At 38.7% G+C, this 21,790-nt stretch overlaps 1 protein-coding gene across 11 annotated transcripts in view; it reads right to left on the bottom strand.

The window, feature by feature from the left end:
* The window catches only part of FAT3 (FAT atypical cadherin 3), a 671,656-nt gene that overhangs the window by 196,454 nt on the left and 453,412 nt on the right, over window positions 1-21,790 (bottom strand). For all 11 annotated transcript variants that reach the window (XM_017017179.3, XM_017017178.3, XM_017017180.2 and 8 more), the window contains one exon: window positions 2,575-2,636. In XM_017017179.3, the coding sequence (XP_016872668.1) occupies window positions 2,575-2,636 (62 nt within the window). The remainder of the gene's footprint in view (window positions 1-2,574; window positions 2,637-21,790) is intronic.

Raw genomic sequence — 21,790 nt, 5'->3', positions numbered from 1 at the left:
GGGCAGTCCCTGGTACACCAGGTGAGTCCAGGGCTTGCTACCTGGGGCTCCTTCTGCATTTCAGTGGTCTGGAGCTTCTACCTTTCCTGGAGTGGGGAGGTGCTGTTAAATCTTTAGAAAGCTTCTGATATTATGTCATCATGTGATAATACTTAAAACCACAACAATCAACAATGATAACCACACTTTACTAAGCACCTACTTAGCACCACTGGACTGGATGTTTTACATGTATTTTATAGTTTAATCTCCCAACAACCCTATAAAGTTGTTAATTGCTATGCTGTCCTACTTCCCTCTGCAGATGATACCAGATACAAGTTGAATATCCCTAATGTGAAAACCCAAATTCCAAAATGCTCAAAAATCTGAAACTTCTTGAGTGCCAACATGATGCTCGAAGGAAATGTTGAATGGAACATTTTGAATTTTGAATTTTTGAATTAGGGATGCTCAACTAAGAATACCGAAAATATTCCAAAATACTAAACATTTCGAATCCCAAGCATTTAAAAAATTTTTTTATAACAATGCATAATAGATGTACATAGTTTCAAGGTACATGTGATAATTTAATACATTCATGTACTTGTAAAGGTCAAATCAGTGTACTTAGGTTATCTATCATCTTAAACATTTGTTACTTCTTTATGCTAGAACCATTCTAATTCTTCTCTTCTAGCTATTTTGAAATATGCAATACATTATTATAAACTCTAGTCACCCTAATGATCTATTTAATACTGAGTCTTATGTCTTGTATCACACCATATGTTTGTACTAATTTATTAACTTCTCTTCATACTTCCCACCCCTTCCCAAGCATTTTGGATAAGTGGAGACTCAACTTGTACTAATCAATGATATTCCAGACCCCAATCTGTGTTAGTCCAAGGTACTAAAACATTACTCAGTATTTATGTAAGTCTGTAGAGGATGTGAATCCATTCAGGGTTCTTTGGGGAGTGAATTCAAATGCTTGGAAAATACTCTTCCTCTTTGCTCTGCTATAGATCCGTCCTGTGACAGTCACACTGCACCACAAACCTCCTGATGACAGAGACGACCTTGCAAGGGACTGGGCCATAAGTGATCTCAGCCAGACTCCTCAGATAATGAGACACCCTTCCTGCTTCCTTCTGGGAAGTAATGGGTTCAACTATCTAAGAACACAGCCTTTCCAGGTGTCCTGGACTGTCTTCTGGAAAGGAAAGAAGCCCATGAATATAATATAAGGTCTTATTTTTCTGGCAAATGTATTTAAGTTCTGGACCAGGTAGGTACTGCATCCTGTTAAAAGGATTTTGAAAAAAGAATTACTATAATTATTTTTTTTGGCAGCCTGGAGCCTTTTATCTTTATGAGATGATAGTAATGTTTTAAAAGGATTATCATAGTATTGTATGATGATGATAATAATAATAATAATCCTTTATTATATCCAATGCTTTAAGAGTTTTAAAAATACGTTGATACAAAACAGAAGGTTTGATCCTAAGAGTGATCTTTTGAGGTATAAAGGATTGTAATTGTTTGCCAAATTTCATAGTAGGGGAAACTAAGGTTCAAGGCAATTAAATAGCTTCAAGCTATTCACAGCAGGGCAGCTTCAAGACCCAGGTAGCCTGATTCCTAGTCCGGTGTTCTTTAAATAAATCATGACTGGTGAGCTAATTTAAAGGAGTAGACCAGAAGAGATTCTATCATCAGATTTGAAAGGTGTGTTTGTGTGCATGTGCACGTGTGTGTGTGTGTATGTGTGTTTGTGTATGTGTTAGGAGGGGTAGTGGATTCCAGAAAGTGATTCTTAGGAACTAAAAGATTATTTTAGAAGCGTAGACACATTATAAAACCTTAACAGAGCCTTGAGTTCTAAGCATCGTCATCTGTTTCATATCACACAGTCACAATTAAATCACGGTGTCATACAAACTACCCAGGCTTCAAGCTTCCCAATAAAGACACTCGATGCTTAAAGAAAGAATGTGCTGCAAAGCTCTTTCATATTTATTTTCTCATCTCATAGCTTTTTATTCTCTCTCCAGAAATAACACTTTTAGAGTTGATTTTGCTGTAGTTTCTGTCTTAATGAATTAAAGGAGTCCATTTTATGGTTTCAGCAATAGTCATCTCTGGCAGTGACTCAACCAGCAGCTTTCTTTTTCTCAACTCTCTCCCCACGAAAAGAAAAGAGGAAAGCAAAGCTTCCTCATAAATGGTACACTGACGCTCTTTCTCTTTTTACGTCTGTGGCCCCCGTGGCTCACAGGGCTCTGCTCCTGAACTTTCTTTTCTGATTATTGACACGAGGGCCTGAAGTCAAGGCAGAGACGGTGATACACCATTGCCTTCAGCAAAAGGCAAAGGCTGCCCTACCACCCTGGCTCAGCACACAGGAGCATGTTGGGAAGAACACACTAGAAATCCCTAAATTCAGAACATAGCAGCCCAAGAGAAATATCTTCACTTTGATATCCACTGTTCAAATATATTGAAGGTGTAGTTTATGTTGAAGGTTAAAGAAGTTTAGTGAAAGTCAGTTTTAATGAATTTCAGTTCCCTCTATGCGCTTACCTCCAGAAAATGTTCTGCCTGCTGTTCTCGATCCAATTTCCTTGAAGTTGTTGTAATCAGACCTGTGTAGAAATGAGAATATTTGACTTTTAAATATCTGGGGCAAACAGCTTACTGAGTGTGGGGAAACAAGTCCAGTTAAAGGAAAAGCAAAAGTGGTATGGAACTGTAACTTTCCAATCCCCCATGACAATCAGAATGGTCTCAAGAATTATTCTTAAAAGAAAGTAAAATTTACAAAGAAAACCTGAAAAATTGTTTCAGCCTGTCTACCACAGTTGGGGTACATCCCACTTTGGGGATGTAAAAAATCACTAAAAAAACTTCTGTTTTTAAGATAATGAAGAATTCCAATGATTCATTTGCATATGACTGAAATTCTACAGTAGAAACCTCATTAAAGATTTTAGAGTTCCTGAACAATTAATAGGTTGTTTATGCTGATTAGATTCAGACTATGAAACAGTACTTTCTTACTTAACTTTTATATGCACATATAATTTTTGTTATACTTGACAAAGAATGTTGTAATCGCTACTTGTACACATAATTATTTCATATTTAATAACTTACACACAAAAGATTTCATACTGTAATTTTATCATTTTGTTTTATGTGTTTGAATCTTTATACAAAACAAGTTCCACATGAAAAATATCTACCTTTTCTTCCAATGGTGTTTCTCATAAGTGAATCACCCCTTTGAGTATAAAGACAAAGAAAAGAAAATGAGAAGACAAAACCTTCAAGGCCTCTCAGCTTATTGCACCAATTTGTCTTTTGCAGGTTTTATTATTCCTTTTGTCAAATGGCAATTAGGAGGTCAAATTTATGTTCCATTTCTTGATTCCACAATGTCCCTAAAGAGAATATGGTGTGGGCTGTTTTCCTGGTATATGCTGATGGACAATGGAGGAACAGAGAAAAATCATATGAAAAGCGTGATCCCAGTGCTGGTGAGGTAGGTGCAATGTGGAAAGGTATTTCCAGGGGCTGTGAAAGAGCCCTTGACCTCAAGCTTCTGTCTTATACAGAAGTGGTGGGTGGGAGCACACAGATTTTAGAGAAAGCCAAGAAGATACCACAGGAAATTAAATGGCTCCCCACGGCCTTCAGAATAATATCCCACTCAGAGTAACATGGCTGTTTACAAGCTAGCCCCTCCTCTCCACCTCCACACTGCCCACAGGAGGAAAACCTGTGTTTCCAGTGTATAAATGATCTAACTTTCCATGAATTCATTCTGGAATGTGCCCCACAGAGTTTTTTCTTTATCTTTTTCATTGTAAACTGACAAGTTGTAGGTATATATATATATACACATGGTATATATATATATAGTAAAAAATGAGCTTATGATTCAAGCATACCATGTGAAATAATTAAATCAAGTGAATTAACATATCCATCACCTACAATACTTATCATTTTTTTGTGGTGAGGACATTTGAAATTTATTAGCAATTTTGAAATGTACAATACACTATTATTAACTATATTCACCCAAGCTGTACGTTACTACACTGAGCTAGATTTTTTAAGTTTAGCTCAGATGTTAGCCTTTGCTGACCCTGTTTAACAGGGTTAGGTGGCCATCTGCTCTGCCCTCATATAACCAGTGCTCTCCATTATTGATCTCTGCCTTATACTAGAATCCTTTGTTCACATGTCAGTATTTCCTCGCTAGACAAATTGACAGAGTTACTTCATGGGATGGGCCTGTCTTTTGATTCGGAAACTCTGATGCCTACCTAGTTCCTCACCTAGAACAAAGAATAGGAACTCATTAATGCTTAGTTAATGAAAAGTTGCTCTGGAAGAGATCTGCTGTATTCTATTCTTCAGTTTTGCTACAGACTTGGAATGTGTTTGTTTAGGAGGGTATTGTTTTGTGTGTGGAGGGTGTATTTGTGGGTGGGAAAGGCTTGTGTGACATGTGTACTCATAAAGTTTGCAGAGTTCCTCTGTGTGAATGAGCAATACTAGGCACTCTTGGATGTAAAGAGCTACTGTCTGAGATTAAGGAGGAAAGACTGCCACCAAGAAGGTCAAGGAGGATGAGTAACTTTCCTTCCTTAGCTGACCATCGGAATCACCAGGGAAACGTAAAAAACATGGATTTTTGTCTCCCTGCTCCATCCCTCATTTACTGTATCAGAATCTCTTGGGGTGAGGCCTGTGACGGTCCTCTGATTCTAAGAGTAAAGTACTATCCAATTCCACTATCTTTCACTGAATCTCACTGTGACTTTTTATTGACCTTACTTCTTCTGACCAGACAGGCCCAAGAATGAAATACACTGAGCTGCTCTAGCATCTAGATCAGAGCATTGGGCTCAGTGGGTGTGGGTGTGGGGTGGGGTGATGGAGATAGCCTGTGAGTGCCTGCTGTGGGGAAGTGAGGAGAGGAATAAAGGGCAGCACATCGCTCTGAGTCACATTGACAGAGGGTCTGTGTGGTCACCCCAGTGGATGTCTAACACACATATCTGACACCTTCATTTTTGGGCCATTCTATTGGACAAGGTCATATGTCACAGAGGCTCTTTCAAAGTGGGGAGTAACTTTCTTCTCACAAGGCAGGGGAAGCTTTCATGGAGCCTCCCCTCTCCTGTGTGTGGGCTCCTCTATTAGAGTCCACAATAGGAATGAGACATGCTTGTTATATTGAGGCTATAAATGAGTCAAAGGGCTGTTGGCCTTCACCCTGCTGCTCTTCCGGCCACAAAAGACCAGGACCCCTTTGCCCTCTGTTCCCCTGGGGACTCTCTATCATCACAGGTGCTCCTTGCCCAGGGTCACATGGCCACAGCCCATTGTGGTGTGGCTGTGCACAGGGAAGAGGTCAGCTTCCTCTCCTGATGATTCTCAGGGCGATTCTTTAGGACATTCACTTGTTTTCACAATGCCTACATGTAACTGGGAGAGCTGCAGGGTCCCCTTCACCTTCATACCTTCACCTGGATGTGTTTCTCACATATTGATCAGCCAACAGAGAGAGACAGGCTTCCTGAAAAGTCTGAAACAACATACACAACAGTGAACTTGGAGCTGTGAGGAAGACAAGCAGTTTCTGTTCCTGGAGTAAAAAGACACAGGAAAGCCTCTGCAGGTTACAGTTCTCTTGGCTTCTACCACCTTTATTTTCATAGATATGAAATAAAAGGCAAGAAATAAAATGTAACTTAAAAGTGGAAATCGGTAGGAAATCAGATGAGGTGGTATGGGGATAGGGAGTGTCTGCTAATGGGTACAAGGTTTCTTTTTGAAGGGATGAAAATGTTCTAAAATTACAGACTATGGTGATGGTTGCATAATTCTGTAAATATTCTGAAAACAATTAAATTGTATCCTTTGAATAGGTGAAGTTTATTGCATGTAAATTATATGCTAATAAAGCTGTTAGAAAAATCACTAGAAAATCATAAACCCTGACTTTAAGGTTTTAATAAGTCTTTTATGTTTGGAAAAGGTAGGCTCTTAAAAATATTTACATGAATGAATGAATGAATGAATAGGTTAGTTAGTTTAGGCCTCAGGCATGAAGAAGGGTTGAAATGAATAGAGCTGATTGGGCTTGTCCATGGGAATCTGGAACATGGAAACATTGAAATTTTACGGTTACAGCAACAACTGGTAGTTATTTGCAGTTGAAAATAAATAAATACATCTTGTTATCAAAATCTTGATAAAATAAATCTTTTTATCAAGCCAGGGTCAGCTAAACCACTAAGGTGTAAAAGCTTTCCTCCTGCTCAAAGTACCTACTTACGATGAGCTACGGCACCTCAGCAGCACTGCCATTTTTTACAGTCAGAAAAGAATGCAGTGAGCCATCCTTCCTGGCCCAGAGGAATTAGTTAAAATGACCAGTGCTACCTCTTCATTTATAATAACTTTGTTGTAGCTGAATGCATTTGGAACAAATAGAGAATAAGACAACAAGACAATAGAGAACAAGAAAAAATACAGAGAATAGAGAACAAGACAAAACAGAGCAACCTCCCTCCTCAACCACTCTGACTCATCACTGGGGAAGGCAACCCCATTCTGTAATCTATACGAGAGAGGTGTGTGCATTACACATGTAACTGTAGACCCACTGGGCACAGTAAATTGGGGACTGACATGATGAAACTGAATTTCAAAGATAAATCATAGGCAAGCTTTTGAATGTGGTTTGGAGATATAAACAAACACATCATTTGATATAATTACATATGCAAACCTCCAATTTAGGAGGGGAAGTATGCCAGTCCTAAGTGAATGATACTCAATAAGGAGGTGGGGGAGACATATGGCTGGAACTGTGCAATTACTTTTAAAATGGCTGCTTTTGATTTTTTGTTATGGAGATGGAAGAATCTAATGACCTCTCTCTGAGAAACAGCCTGAGCATGAAAATGTGGCTGCCTGTTCCAAACAGAATTCAAAATGTTCTAAGTAGTTATGGTCAGAGAAGTGATACTTGTAAGGATGACTTCTTTTCCCTGATTTTTCTGCCTGTGGGTGTCCTGGGTCGCAGCTGTGTAATCTGCTGCCATGACATTCACATTTTCTTTAAGTGCTACTTGAAGAAATGCAGGTCTTAGCTGTTTCAGCATAATTCTCCAAGACTGTTGGAAGCTGGGTTTGGTATTTTAAAAATACAACTAGAATTATCAGCTTTGTGAGCGACAATTAATTCTTTCCTCTGTGTTCTTCACATCCCATCCCCTATGCTTCTCACTTCTTCATGTCTGTACCCAGCTATCTGGTAAACCCTTCACCATCCTTTCAGACAGTTGAGTTGTTACTTTCTATGTGAAGCCCTCTCGGACCTTTCCTTACCTGGCATGTTGCATGTAATTAATTCATTTATCATCTGAATCTCCATCTAGACTACAGCTGCAAAAGGCAAAGGCTTTGGGTCTTTAAACACAACTAAGCCCACAACTTAGATCAATGCCTCCTCAATTTTTTGAATAAAATACTACTTTTGCAGCACACAACATTTTGCTCTAATTATTTTCCAAACAGTCAGTCTTCCCTAATAGGGCACAAGCAAAAGGGTGGTGAATAAATCTTATTCATGTTGTATTCCTGGTGTTTAACACAGAAACTGGCACATTGTAGGTACCAAGCAAAATTTATCTGAATGAAGGTGATGTGGATGTAGTCTTCCAGAACTCTCAATGTTATTTTATTATACAGAGTGGCCATAATGGTTCCAATGCATGGGTGTTAAAGCTGTCTGAATGCTCTCCTCCATCCTTTGAATAACTTTAATGTTTTCCTGTTTTTTGGAGGTCATCAGAGCAATTCCTGATAGCCTTTTAAAAATTTTTTTCAGCAGCTGATTAAATATTTTTAATCTTTAATCTTATGCACAAAGGATTTGTGGCCATTCCATTGTTCTCTCCCATCCTGATTTCTACCTAATTTAGGGAGAAAAATAGGATAATAATAATATAGTTGTATCCAATATTTATTGAGTACTGAATATGTGCCAGGCACCATATTAAACAGTTCATATACATAATCTCATTTTATCTCACAATAGTTCAGATATCATATAGTCTAAGAATATACATTACATGGTTGCTTTTTTAAAAAACAGACCTAATACATGTCTTTACCACAACTTTAATTTTTCCTCTAACTCTGAAATTTCAGAGAAATAGGAATTATTTTGACTCCATTTGTAGGAGGAAACAGTTAAATAAACTTGCCCGAGGTTAATTTGTGATTTATGACTATACCACAATTCAAACCCAGCAACTCTTGGCCAGGTGTGGTGTCTTATGCCTATAATCCCAATGCTTTGAGAGGCCAAGGCAGGAGGATTGCTTGAGGCCAGGAGTATGAGACCAGCCTGGGTAACATGGTAAGACCCTATCTCTTTAATAATAATAATTAGACAGGCACCTATAGTTCCAGCTACTTGGGAGGCTGAAGTGGGAGGATGGCTTGAGCCCAGGAGTTTGAGGTTACACTGAGCTATGATTACGTCACTGCACTACAGCCTGGGTGAGAGAGAGAGGACTCTTTCTTTAAAAAAAAAGAAACCTCGTAAACCAAAAATAAAACTAACTCTGGAGCTTCTTCAGTGTTTCCTTTTTATCTCCCTAGCAGAAGATGTGGAGCATTGGCAAAGTCATCTGTCTAGGGGCCAGGAGACCTGGGTACCAGAATCGGCTCTGTCAATAACTGGTCATAAGATCACAGGAAATCATATTCCTTCTCTAGGCCTCAGTTTCTTCATCTAGGAAAGTCGTAATGCATCTTTTCAGTGTGAAGAATGTACAGTAATATAAGGAATATTACAAGAAGATCATTAGTCTTCTTCCTTCCCTGCTTTATTCCCTGAGCACACTTTCTTCTCAATGGTTCTGTGCCCGGCAGTGCAGGACCTGGGTGGGTCACCCAATCGGGAACAATACATGCTGTGTTATAGTTTTTATTTATCCACAGAATTGACATGAAATTAAACATCCTATGCATATTTCTCAAAAGGAGGAAAGTAAAAATATCAGTTAAGTACGTGCTTTTAAATAGGGAAAATACACACACTGGTTATTCCCACATTTATGATGTCTTCTATAAGATTCTGACTTCTAGAACCCCTATTTCCACCTCTTTCCCTTCAGCCCATTAAGAAGCATTAAAATATTCCCTGCAGTATTTACATATGGACATCAGGCTGTGCACTTAATTTGGAGAGAAATGAAATGCATGCATAGTAAATTCAACTTTCAGGAGTAGAGGAAAAATTAAAGTTGGAGAGAAGAGTTGTATCACATTTCCTTAAAAAATAAACAACTAAGTAATATGTATTTTCAGACTGGATGATATTTATTTGAAAAGAAAAAATACCAGAAAGAAAAAAATATATATACAAGAGCTACAACATCAGTTATAAGGGGGTTAAAAAAAGGATTCTGGAAACTACCCCCACGAGATATGCTTCTTAAGTAAGGGTTGTTTCATCAGGTTTGTAAAGACTTGGAATTGCTCAATTGAGCACATGGTGCTGCTATTAAATTTTCTTAAGAAAAGTTGAAGGGGAAATCACCCATGGAGCTTAAGCCTGCAAGTTGGACTTCTCTTCATAAATAGAGATTTCTGAGATGCTAATAGAAGCTTTAAAACTGTAAAAGTGAGGGTACATTTTAAACCAAAGTATGAAGATGCTGTGGGTCAAACATGGTTTATGGCTGTTGGTTTTCTGTAACAGATACATTTCATTTCTTTCTTTGCAAGCCAATGGATGGCATTTCTGAATTCTGCCTTAGCAGCAGGGAAATCCCAGGCAGTATTTTTCTGCCAGAAATATTTTCCCTTTGGATTCAGGATTCTGTAGCCGCTACAGGTAGCAAAGGGAACAAGCCATCCTGCAGAGGAAAACTGTAGAGGCTGGCACAGACCTGGCAACTTCCCTTCAGGCCTAGTTGACAGATGGAGTTGCCCACAGCCTGGACGGAGAGTTCTAAGGTTCAGGCAAGCCCTGCTTCCTAACTCTACTGCTACACTAGATTGATTAGAAGCATTTGGGTCAAGTCCACTTGTCATCAGAGTGAAGGGTAAGGTGGGGCCAACAAGGGAGGGAGTAGTGAAGATGATCTTGTATGATAGACAATACTTCCAAAGTCCTCCTCCTCTGTATAATCCTCTCCTGTACCCAGTGGTCTTGCCATCCTCATGCACACATGCATGCATGCATGTGCACACATTCATACAGTTAGAACCAGAGATGCTGTGTACATGCCTAATTTTACCAGAATACCTGGATACTTCCCACTCCCATCTGTTCTTCCATCAATTCCTCTCCTCATCACCAGTCTTCATGGTTCTTCCTCCCAACTGCACAGAGCCCTCCGGTTCTGCCTTCCGATTCTGCCTAGATGAGGATGCACTTATGCACCTGAAGAAGTCTCTAGGCTATTAAGTTAAACCTTGAATGCCATATTGGATTTCTTCAGAGAAATTAAGCCACAGATGGCGAACCAATACTAAGGATGTCGTATGAAATGATGCCATCTTTAGGTGCTATTTACATACCACTGATGTGCATGCTTAGATGTGCAATATGGCGCACTTCTCCCCCTTTCCCTTTCTGCCAAGATTTTTTTCATAATTCTGAATATTGGATAATCAAAATAAAGAAGCCTAAGTGACTGGCAATCTAAATTCCACTATATAGATGAATCCTAGAGATTATCTAGTCCAGGAAGCATTGTAGTATACTGGCTAGCAGTACTCAGGCTCTGGCATCAGACTGCCTGATTTCCCATCCCAGTTCTACCTCTAGGCAGCTGCATGTCCTTGGGCAGGTTACTTAGCTTCCTCATCTATAAAATGAAGCTTACTAAATTAAATAATTAAAAATGCTTAGCATGGTTCCTGGCACATACTACATGCCCAAATAATACTATTCTTATTATCAGCTCTAAGAACAGTGTGTGGAGTATCATATGTGTTCAATGGTTTAACTTTGCTTCCTTCCCACCTAAATATTTGGGCAGCAAAAGTTCTAAAACATTTAATACTCACTCTGTCATCTGACAGATAAGGAAATTGAGGCTTACAGTATAAGTAACCTGTTCAAAGACTTACTGATTTAAAAAATCCCTTTATCCATGCATGGTTACATTTTTTTGAGAGGATAATATATAATACTCTTGCTACTTGAAGCATAGCATGCATTAGCATCATGAGTGCTACTTGGGAGCTGGTTAGAAATGCAGACTTGTAGGCTCCCCCCAGACCTAGATAATGTATGCACAGGAATTTTAAGATGACTGGCTCTAGACCATGGTTGGTTTTCAAACTTGGCTGTGCCCTGGAATCACCTGGGGAGTTTTAAAAAATACTCACGTCAGGGTCCCACACCCAGAGATTATGAATTATTTGGTATGTGGTGGAGCCTAGGCATAGGTATTTTTAAAGAATTCTCCTAGGTGATTCTAATGTTCAGCTAGGGGTGAGAATGACTGTATATCTAGTTGTTATCTTCTGGATGATGGGGTTATAGTAATTACTTTTATTGGCTTATCTAAATATCTAGTTTTTCTAACATGAACAACACTCAACTTTATGAAATAAAATAATTTACAGGACAATAAAATAGAGGCACCAGGAACAGCCTCCCGTATGTCATCATCTGAATTCCACAACGTTCTGATCCGAATCCTTCCAGCAAAGGACTAAACTATGTGGTTACCATGTTTGTTTTGACTTTACTTATTAATTAATTAATTAATATTTAAAGACAGGGTCTCGCTCTGTCATCCAGGCTGAGTGCAGTGGCATGATCATAGCTCTACAGGCTGAAATTCCTGGGCTCAGGCAATACTCCTCACTCAGCCTCCCAAGTAGCTGAGACTACCGGTGCACCATCATCCCCAGCTAGTTAAAAAAATTTTTTTTTTTTTTTGGTAGAGATGTGGTCTCTAATTCCTGGTCTCAAATTCCTGGCCTCAAGGTGAGCCTCTGGCCTCAGCCTCCCAAAGTGCTGGGATTCTACGTGTGAGTCACCTTGCCCAGCCTGTTTTGACTTTAGATCTGAGGCATGCTAGGCATGCCTAGCAAGGAAGACAGGAAGCCCTGCCTTCCCATACTATACTGGCTTCCATCAGCTACAATTTCACTTCTGCATTCAGGCATACTTTCTTTTACCGCCTATAGCGTTACACACTGCCTAGCCCCATCTGGCCACCAAGATCTCCCTAGCAGAGGTGGAACACCACCTCCATACAGATGCTTTCTCTTCCCCACAAAAACACATTTGGACACAAGGCAAAAGATAAAAAGATACAACAATAAGTCTCTATATTTTCCTTCATCAAACTAACAATCCAGTGAGAGAGGTAGACACATATAAGAATCACTACAGTACAAGGCAAGATCTAACACACACCCTAGACAACTTTGAGTGTCCCTAAGAAGGAAAGATTAATGCTGAATTGTACAATCAGAAAACATAAAGGAATGAGCTGTGTTTGTACTGGGCCTTTAATGTTTAATAAGAATCTGACAGAGAAGTTGTGAAAAGTCAAAATGTCCAATCTCCATTTAAGATTAACGAGACAGAAGCTTAACAAAAACGGTAAACTTGGGTCTAAGTCCTGGCTCTGCTATTTTTTAGCTGTATGGACAAGGAAACTTACATAACTTCTCTGATCGCAGTCTTGTCATCTCTGAAATGGGGACAATACTAGGTTCCTCAGAGGCTCGGTTAGAAACAATAAAGCTGAGGTGCTTGGCACAGTGGCTTGTACTCAGATGCTGTTTAAAAAGCAGGCACAGTATCTACAAAAAGCAGTGTATTATATTTTATTTTTATTAAAAACCCTAATAGCCCTGGGGTGCTATTTCTAGCCTATATTAAAAAGGAAAACCTTATTGTATCTGGATTGTTCAACCCCCAAAATGTCTGAAAATTTAATAACCAGGAAACTAAAAGTTGAAGTTTCTTTTTGTTCAGATGAACACTCTAAAGTTCTGTAATTCCTGACACACTTGAGGTGTGAAAACAGCCACTGCACTCCCCTTAGAAATCATGTCACTGTAAATGATTTGTTTCTACATGTTTTCATCTGACAGATAAAATCAGGAGGATGGATAAAGTGCAAATTACTCAGAGAATGTGCAAAGTCTTGAAAATGCATGTGTGCTTTGTAGGCATGCAATCCTTTAAGATCATCTTTGCTCTATAATTTATACAAGACCCCTTAGGTAGGAGTGATGTTTTGAAACTCAATTTTAAAAACCTGGAAAAAATATCACTCGTATGGAAAGCTTTGAATGCTGTCAGAAGACTGATAATGCTTTTTTTTAAAAAAACCCACATATTTTCCAGTTAATTTTCACTTAATTCAAACTTGCCCTTTTGTCTTAAATTTATATTTACATTGTAAAACCCCATTAGTTTTCATTTCACCTGTCTGAGAATATATAACAGTTCCAAAGCTGGTTGGAGTTTACCTTTGCACTACCTAGGTAAATTAACAGGATGAAGAGGTCTCAGGGGAATATTTATTGTACTCAAGATAAACCATTTGCAGAGCACTTCAATTTTAACAACCACCATTTTGATGTTGTAATTGCAAACAGCCTATGTAACTATTCATTAGAATCTGTCCAAGCAGGTCTTTTGTTTGGCAACACTATGCTAATATTAGCATTAACCTTATGTGTTTATTTGAGAGCAGTAAATATGTGTTTCCTGAAATATTCTAGAAATCCACATTTTCAGCTGCTACAACGTGCTCCTCAGAGTCTGAATCAGTGGCATTTCACTGTCTTTCTGTTCTCAGGGAGGAAGTACCATCTCTCATAAGAATGATACAATTTGTGCTTAATCATTTACCAATACAACTTTGGGCAAGTCTTTAAAAATGTGCACCTCAGTTTCTTCCTCTGTAACACAGCAATTATTTTATGGAGGAGCAAATAATCTCTTCATCACTAGGGGTAACATATGATATTTTTCCCATATAAACTTAAGTGGAAACAAAGGAGAGATTAGTATTATTTATAACTGCTTTATAACTCCTTGGAAGAAATGCTGAATAAGTCAGGGAAGAAGCCTTGTATTTTCCCTCTGCTCTTTAGCAGGGGACTTCATAAACAATTCCTTTATACCATTTTGTATTCTGTTTACATGTTTTTTTCTGTCAATAGACTGTGACTTCTCCAGGGCAACCATATTTTTATTCACTTAATGTTCATTAAAGGAATACCTTTTAAGAGCCCAGGCTACTCATTGTATCTTTTGTGCTTAGCACAGGGCCTGGCATATGAAGGGCATCAATAAATATTGGTCTATTGACTAAATAAACTATAATAATAATAATAAATAATTAAATATATAATATATAGTAAACACAATCAAATAAATATATAATAATGAAATGTGTATGTACGCGTGTGCACACACACACATGCTTCCATCCAAAGCAGGTAATGGTCTATACATATGGGAATATTCATTTAGCATTTATATTATGGCTTGTAAAGACTTTTTGGGAAAAGTTTCCAAATTCAGAACGAATTATGTGCTGCGATGATTATTGCTATGGGTTTTTAACATAAAATGTTACAGGTTCATAAAAAGCCATGTTTTTTGGTGTCATGTCAGAGTCTGCAGTCTGTTTGGTTAATTGAGGTTAATGGAGGGAAATGGCAGATTGCCAGTGCTAATGAGTTTATCTTGATTCTTTTTGATATGTATTTTATTCCTCTTTTGTTTTTACTTTTTGTTTAACTAAATTATGTTATTTAAACAAGAATCTGTCATGTGTAAGTAGGGATTGATAACCTATCAGAGAGGGCTCAGCCCATGTTTCATTTCTCAAAAAACATTTTAAAAAAGGAAAAGAGAGGTTACAAAAAATAGTCAGTCTCTGATTTCTGTAGGTCCACCAAGCACCCCACGATACATATCAAGATGGAGGATAAGACAAAGCGCCCTGTAGGATCACACTCCCTGGCTGGAGTTTGATGAGTTAATCCTTCCAAAACTCTACTAAGAATCTAGCAAGAAATGTGCTAAAGGCATATATCATCCATGTCTTATAGAAAAGATGAGCTAGGTGGCATTTTAGTTTCTTGTTCAGAAAAGAAAAAGAAATGTAAATCAAATGAGAGAATCATTGAAAGAGTCAGGAAGAATCAGATAGCTGCAAATACCGGCTCTATGGGATAGGGGCTAGTATGGGGGTGTGGGGAGAGGCAGGAAGCACCAAAGACTGCCATAAGCATCTATATCTAGCTTGTTTATTCCATAGTTATCCACAGGATAAATATAACTACATATCATTTGTTGAGTGTTACATCACTAAGTAGCTAGATCTGTTCGACTCCTAAATTTGTGCCCTGAACTGGTATACTGTAATTACAGTATTTGCTTGGCTTTACTGGTTCCCTTGGTAGAAGTGGAAGAAGGTTGTTCAGATTTTCCTCCTGTTTCAGAAACAAGAACAGTGGTGGCAGACCTGAAATGTGCACACCCCATGGCAAATTTAAAATTAAGAGCTGCAACTGGCAGTGGGTCTGCTGGGCACTCATGTCCAGGGTCCCGGGACTTTCTTTCCTTTCACCATTACTTTTCATCCCAAGATTGATCTCCATTCCACCCATGCAGTTCAGCAATGGTCCCAGGAGAATAGGTGCAAAATGTTTCTTCTACATTTTCAGCCATTTAGCAGTCTTTCTTTGGGACTAAGGGTTTGTAATGGGTAGGTACACAAGAGGTACCCATTTAAAAACCAACTAGTCAAATGAACATGCCACCCAGATTAAAAGACATTTTCATCTTCTTTGTTCGCACTCTGAAAAATTCAGTATCTTCTGAACAAATGGCTGTGCATTGAGCCTGAGAGTGGATTTTTAAACCATTCACAGCTCTGTGTCAGTCCTTCATTCTTAGGGAAAACCAGCTCAATGCTACTGTGGTTGTAATTAGTGGATAATTAGTACTTGTACATGTCGATGCTACATGTCATGGAACTCGTGCCGGGTTTAGCATCCACTCAACAAGATTATTTAATTTTGCTGTGATTTTAATTCTTTTGAATCACATTAATGCCTTGGCACTAGAAAATCTGGGACTAGCTAGTTCAACTAAGGTTTGAAATTATATTAATGTATTTCATGTTTTCCAGGAAAAAGAAAGTTGTTGGAAGGTTTCTGTATTAACGAACTGAAGCTGCATTCCATAGTCTCATAGGCCATTTTGGGCTTAGGTTTTAAAATATCATATGTACTACAATGCCAGCCCTACCACTGGCTAGGCACTGGGGTGGTTGGCTTTCAACGGATGCTGAGAATAAGGGGAAATGGGAATTGAATAAATAGAGACATGTGGTTAGAGGATCGGGTGAAATTATGCAAAAAGTTAACATGGGGGACAGAGGGGTGAAGCCTTAACAACAGCTGGGGGTGCAAGAAAAGGCTTCCCAGGAAGGGATCTCTTGGGTTGGGATGAGTAGAAGTTTTCCAGTTAGAAAAGGAGTACTTTTACCATACTCTGATGGGAAAGGAAAATCATACAGGGAAGAAGAACCCTGGTCCCAACCCCAAGTTACCTCAGGAGACCTTAGGGGAAACCCTAGAATTTTGTTTTACATATTGTTGGAAATGGAAGAAAAGAAATATCCTTTCCTTTAGGGGCATGCAATCAGTCAGCTCTCTTAACTTTCAGTGTGGAAGTGTCTTCATACATTATGAAACAGCATTGTGGGCAACAATGGGAAAATTCCCCACTCCATTCCTGTCATCCTCAGAATAAAGGGACCAAGACCACATTAGAAAGCAAGTAAATAACCCTCACAATAAAACAGGCAGGAAATGCTGGAGAGTGCCAGTCAGATACCACTTTTTTTTTTTTTTAGAGTCTTGCTGTGTCACCCAGGCTGGAGTACAATGGCATGATCTCAGCTCACTGCAACCTCCGCCTCCTGGGTTCAAGCAATTCTCCTGCCTTGGCCTCCCAAGTAGCTGGGATGAGAGGCATGCACCACCATGCCTGGCTAATTTTTGTATTTTTAGTAGAGACTGGGTTTTGCCATGTTGGCCAGGCTGGTCTCAAACTCCTGACCTCAGGTGATCTGCCCACCTCGGCTTCCCAAAGTGCTAGGATTACAGGACTGAGCCACCGCACCTGGCCCAGATACCATTTAAATAGCACTTCCTCCCCATTCCCTTGTCCTCCTCTCAGAACACATTTGTTGGGTGACCAACCATCCCCGTTTGCCCAAGACTGTTCTGGTTTTAGCATGAAAAGTTTCAGTACTACTTCCCAAGAAATCCCTCAATATCAAGGAAACTAAGATGGTTGATCACCCTAGTTTCAGTTCGCAACTGAATGCCAAGTATTTGTGATTAACTTCCCAAATGGTAGATTGTCAAGGCTGAACCAACATGAGTGAGAGCGATTATTACGTTGGCTCTGCATCCAATGTTTTGCAGGTGAGGAAAGTAAGGCCCAGCTAGGAGCAGTGACTTAGATTCATTCAAACAATGCTTAGCTCCAATTAGGTAATGCGCCTGCTCAAAAACACTCAGAACTGCTTTATGATTTTTTTTCTTTCTCACATAATCACATGCTTCTAAAAACTCACAGCTTTTCCCTGACATAGTTAACAACCAATTAAATTGTCTGAGTATTCCCTATGTGGCAGGCAGTATGCTGAGTACTTTACATGCAAAATTTCACTGAATCCTCATAACAATTCTAAATTACTATAAGTTGCTAAATACTATTCTTACCCCCATTTTGTAGTTGAGGAGATTGAATCTTAGCAAGACCGTGTAACTTGCCTAAGGTTTTGCAATGAGTAGGTGAGAAGAGATTTGAAACTCAAGTTGTCTGACTCCAGAATCCTTATTCTTAACCACAAAGACACAGGACTCCTTTTTAAATTTTATCTTTCACTATTTCTGTAGAATTACTCCACCATGTAACCACAATATGTGAAAGTGCACAGGGATGGTTTCCCCATTTTCACACTTTATTTCTATTCTGTCTCATTCTTTCATTCACTGGAAAGGCATCTTCAGATAAGAAGCTAAGCTTGCTTTGCATTGTCCAGTGAGTTTGGGCCCCCCTCCTCCTCCCTCCCACACTGATACTGCTTCAGAAAAGTGCAAATTTGATGTGCTGGCAGTGTTTTCTGTCTTAAGCCGTTGAGCTCTTATAGGAGCAATCCAATTAAATGTCATGTGGTGTCCCATTAGCTGAAGGAGACCCTAAAGGGATTCAAATGCCATGCTTCTCTTAAGAGCTCTGCAGCACCTTCACCATTTAGATTTCTGCTACTTCCTTCTGAGGGCTTCTGCTCTTAGGTTATGGGCTTTTCCAGCTCTCCCACTTGCTAACCTCTTTCTTCTGAAAGCAAAGTCTTTACACCTCAAATACATTCTACTAAATTCACCAAAGCATTGCAAATTTATTACCAGGTTCCAGCTGCCCTGAAATTCTTCGTGTTCCTTGACCACATAAAGCTCATTTCTGCCATAAGCCTTTGCCCTTGACCTTCCCTTGGCAACACCCTTCTCCTGTCCTCCTCTCTTACCCAGATGTCTGCATGGCTAATTCTTTCTTTTTCAAACAGATCCCAGTTCAAATGTCACCTCCCAAGAGAATCCTTCCCTTCTCTGCTTACATCACCTAAAGTCTCCCCTGCTTTGTGTTACTTTCATCCATCCCTATCTGTCTGAAGTCATCCTGTGGGCATATTTGTTCACTTATCTATTGTCTAGCTCCTTCTCTAGAATGTAAGGTACAAAAAGGCATTTCATCTCGATCTTTTGTATGCATTGTCATATACATGGCAGCTAGGAGTGCTGTGGCACATACTAGGCCCTCACTAAATGACTCTTGAATGAAAGAATGAATGTCTATATAAAAAATACTTCCAAACATTGCTGAAGCCCTCCTGTCCTTGCATTTAAATATTCTGCATGCTTTTTGTCCTATTTGAATTTTCATATTGAATGTTTTTAGTACCATTTTTGACTCTACCACTAAAAGTTTCTAGATGTTTCCCATCAGGGAACTAGCAAGAAGGACAGTGAATGGGAGTCAGAAGGATCCAGGCTCAGTACCAAGCCTCCCTGCTGCCCAGTTAAATGACCTTGGGCAAGTGATTTTAAACTCTGTGAGCTTAAGCTTTTTTACCCAAACAATGAAAAAGTTTGTATCTACCTCATGGGAAGAAGAGTGAATATGAATTGAGATGAGATGTGTTGCAAGCACTTGCAATGCAACAAGTACTCAATGTGGTCCTTGCCCTTCCCTTATATAGTTATTAAGTACATTTAATTTTTTAGGAAAAAAAACCGTAAAATTCATATGGAACCAACAAAGATCCCCAAAAGCTAAAGCAATCCTAAGCAAAAAGAACAAAGCTGGAAGCATCATATTGTCTAACTTCAAATTATATTACAAGGTTATAGTAAACCAAACCACATGGTACTGGTATAAAAATAGGCACATAGATCAATGGACCAGAATAGAGAACCCAGAAATAAAGTCACACATTTATTGCCAACTTATCTTTGACAAAGTTGACAAGAACATACATTGAGAAAGGATAGCTTCTTCAGAAAATAAATGGTGTTGGGAAAATTGGATTGCCATATGCAGAATGAAACTGGACCACTGTTTCTCACTCTATATTAAAATCAACTCAAGATGGAGTAAAGACTTAAATGGAAGATCTGAAATTATAAAAATACTAGAAGAAAACCTAAAGAAAACTCTTCTGGGTATTGGTTGAGGCAAAGATATTATGGCCAAGATCTCAAAAGCATAGATGAAAAAAAAAAACCAAAAATAGAAAAATGAGACTTAATCACACTAAAAAATTTCTGCACAGCAAAATAAGTAATAAATGGAGTGAATGGACAACTTGTTGAATGGGAAAAATTGCTTGCAAACTATTTATCAAACAAGGGACAAATATTCAGAATATACAAGAAACAACAACAGCAACAAAAAAATCCCATTAAAACTTGAGTAAAGGACATGAATAGACATTTTTCAAAAGAAAATATACAAATGGCTAACAGGTATTTGAAAAAACGTTCAACTTTTTTTTTTTTTTTTTTTTTTTTTTTGAGATGGAGTCTCGCTCTGTCGCCCAGGCTGGAGTGTAGTGGCACAATCTCGGCTCACTGCAAACTCCGCCTCCCGGGTTCATGCCATTCTCCTGCCTCAGCCTCCCAAGTAGCTGGGACTACAGGTGCTTGCCACCACGCCTGGCTAATTTTTTGTATTTTTAGTAGAGATGGGGTTTCACCATGTTAGCCTGGATGGTCTTGATCTCTTGACCTCATGATCCGCCCACCTCGGACTCCCAAAGTTCTGGGATTACAGGCGTGAGCCACCGTGCCTGGCCTCAACATTATTAATCACCAAAGAAGTGCAATTTAAACCACAGTAAGATATTATCTTACCTCAGTTAGAATGGCTATTATTAAAAAAACAAAAAATACTAGGTGTTGATGAGGACGTGGAGAAAAGGGAACTCATAAATGCTACTGGAGGGAATGTATATTAGTTTAGCCATTATAGAAAACAGTATGGGGAATTCTCAAATACCTAAAAATAGAACTACTATTTGATCTAGCAATCCCACTACTGGTTATCTTCCAATAAATAAATAAATAAATAAATAAACCAAAAAAAAAATACTTGTACTCATATGTTTATTGTAGCACTACTCACAATAACAAAGCTATAGGATCAACCTAAGGAATCAACAGACGAATGTATGAAGAAAATGTATATATACACAATGGAATACTATTCAGCCATAAAAGGAATGAAATCATGTCTCTTGCAGCGACATGGATGGAACTGGAGGTCATTACCTTAAGTGAAACAAGCCAGCCAAAGAATGTCAAATATCACATGTTTGCACGATTAAATGAGTGCTAAAAAATGTGTACACATGGATGTAGAGAGTGAAATGATAAAAAATGAAGACTCAGAAGGGTGATGAGAAAGCTAGGATAATGAAAAATTAGTTAATGGATACAATGTATGTTATTTGGGTGATGGATAGACCCTAAAAGCCATGATTTGACCACTATGCAATCTATGCATGTAATAAAATTGCACATGTACCACATAAATTTGTGCAAATTTAAAAAAGTTAAAAAAGTATATTTAACTTCTATAATTTCACATAATTACCCAGATGTAAATTACTAAGCAATTAAATTATTAATTGAACATGGAGAGCTTGGAATATATTTAAGAAAGCCTTAGAGCTCTGTTTTATTTAAAAAACTCGGAGTCTTAAGGGGCCAACTATTAAAAAAAGTCATTATTAGAAGTTTGGTCTCATAGCAATGCCTCAAGATCAGCATTCTTGCTATCAGTTGAAAGTTTCTCCCAAAAGGCACGTGTGGGAAACTTAATCCCCAGTGCAACAGCACTGGGAGGCCTAATGGGAAGTGTTTAGATCATGAGGGCTCCACCTCCATGCATGGATTGATGCTAATTAATGAGGCTGGAGAATAGGGTCTGGAGGTAAAGAGCCTAAGGCCGATTCACACTGAGTTCCTAGAACTGAATCAAAAGGAAAACTCCACCTCTCCACACCCAAATAACAAAAGGCTAAGAGGCTACTCCCTTTGCACTGCCTCCCAGATGAAAAATGAGAAGTACCTCTGACTGGTCCCCTCTTGCAACCAGTCTTCATGTGCAAAGGGTGTAACTTTG

Source organism: Homo sapiens, chromosome 11 (assembly GCF_000001405.40).
Source record: "Homo sapiens chromosome 11, GRCh38.p14 Primary Assembly".
NCBI classification, from domain to species: domain Eukaryota; kingdom Metazoa; phylum Chordata; class Mammalia; order Primates; family Hominidae; genus Homo; species Homo sapiens.
This window is presented reverse-complemented; position numbering and strand designations above follow the sequence as displayed.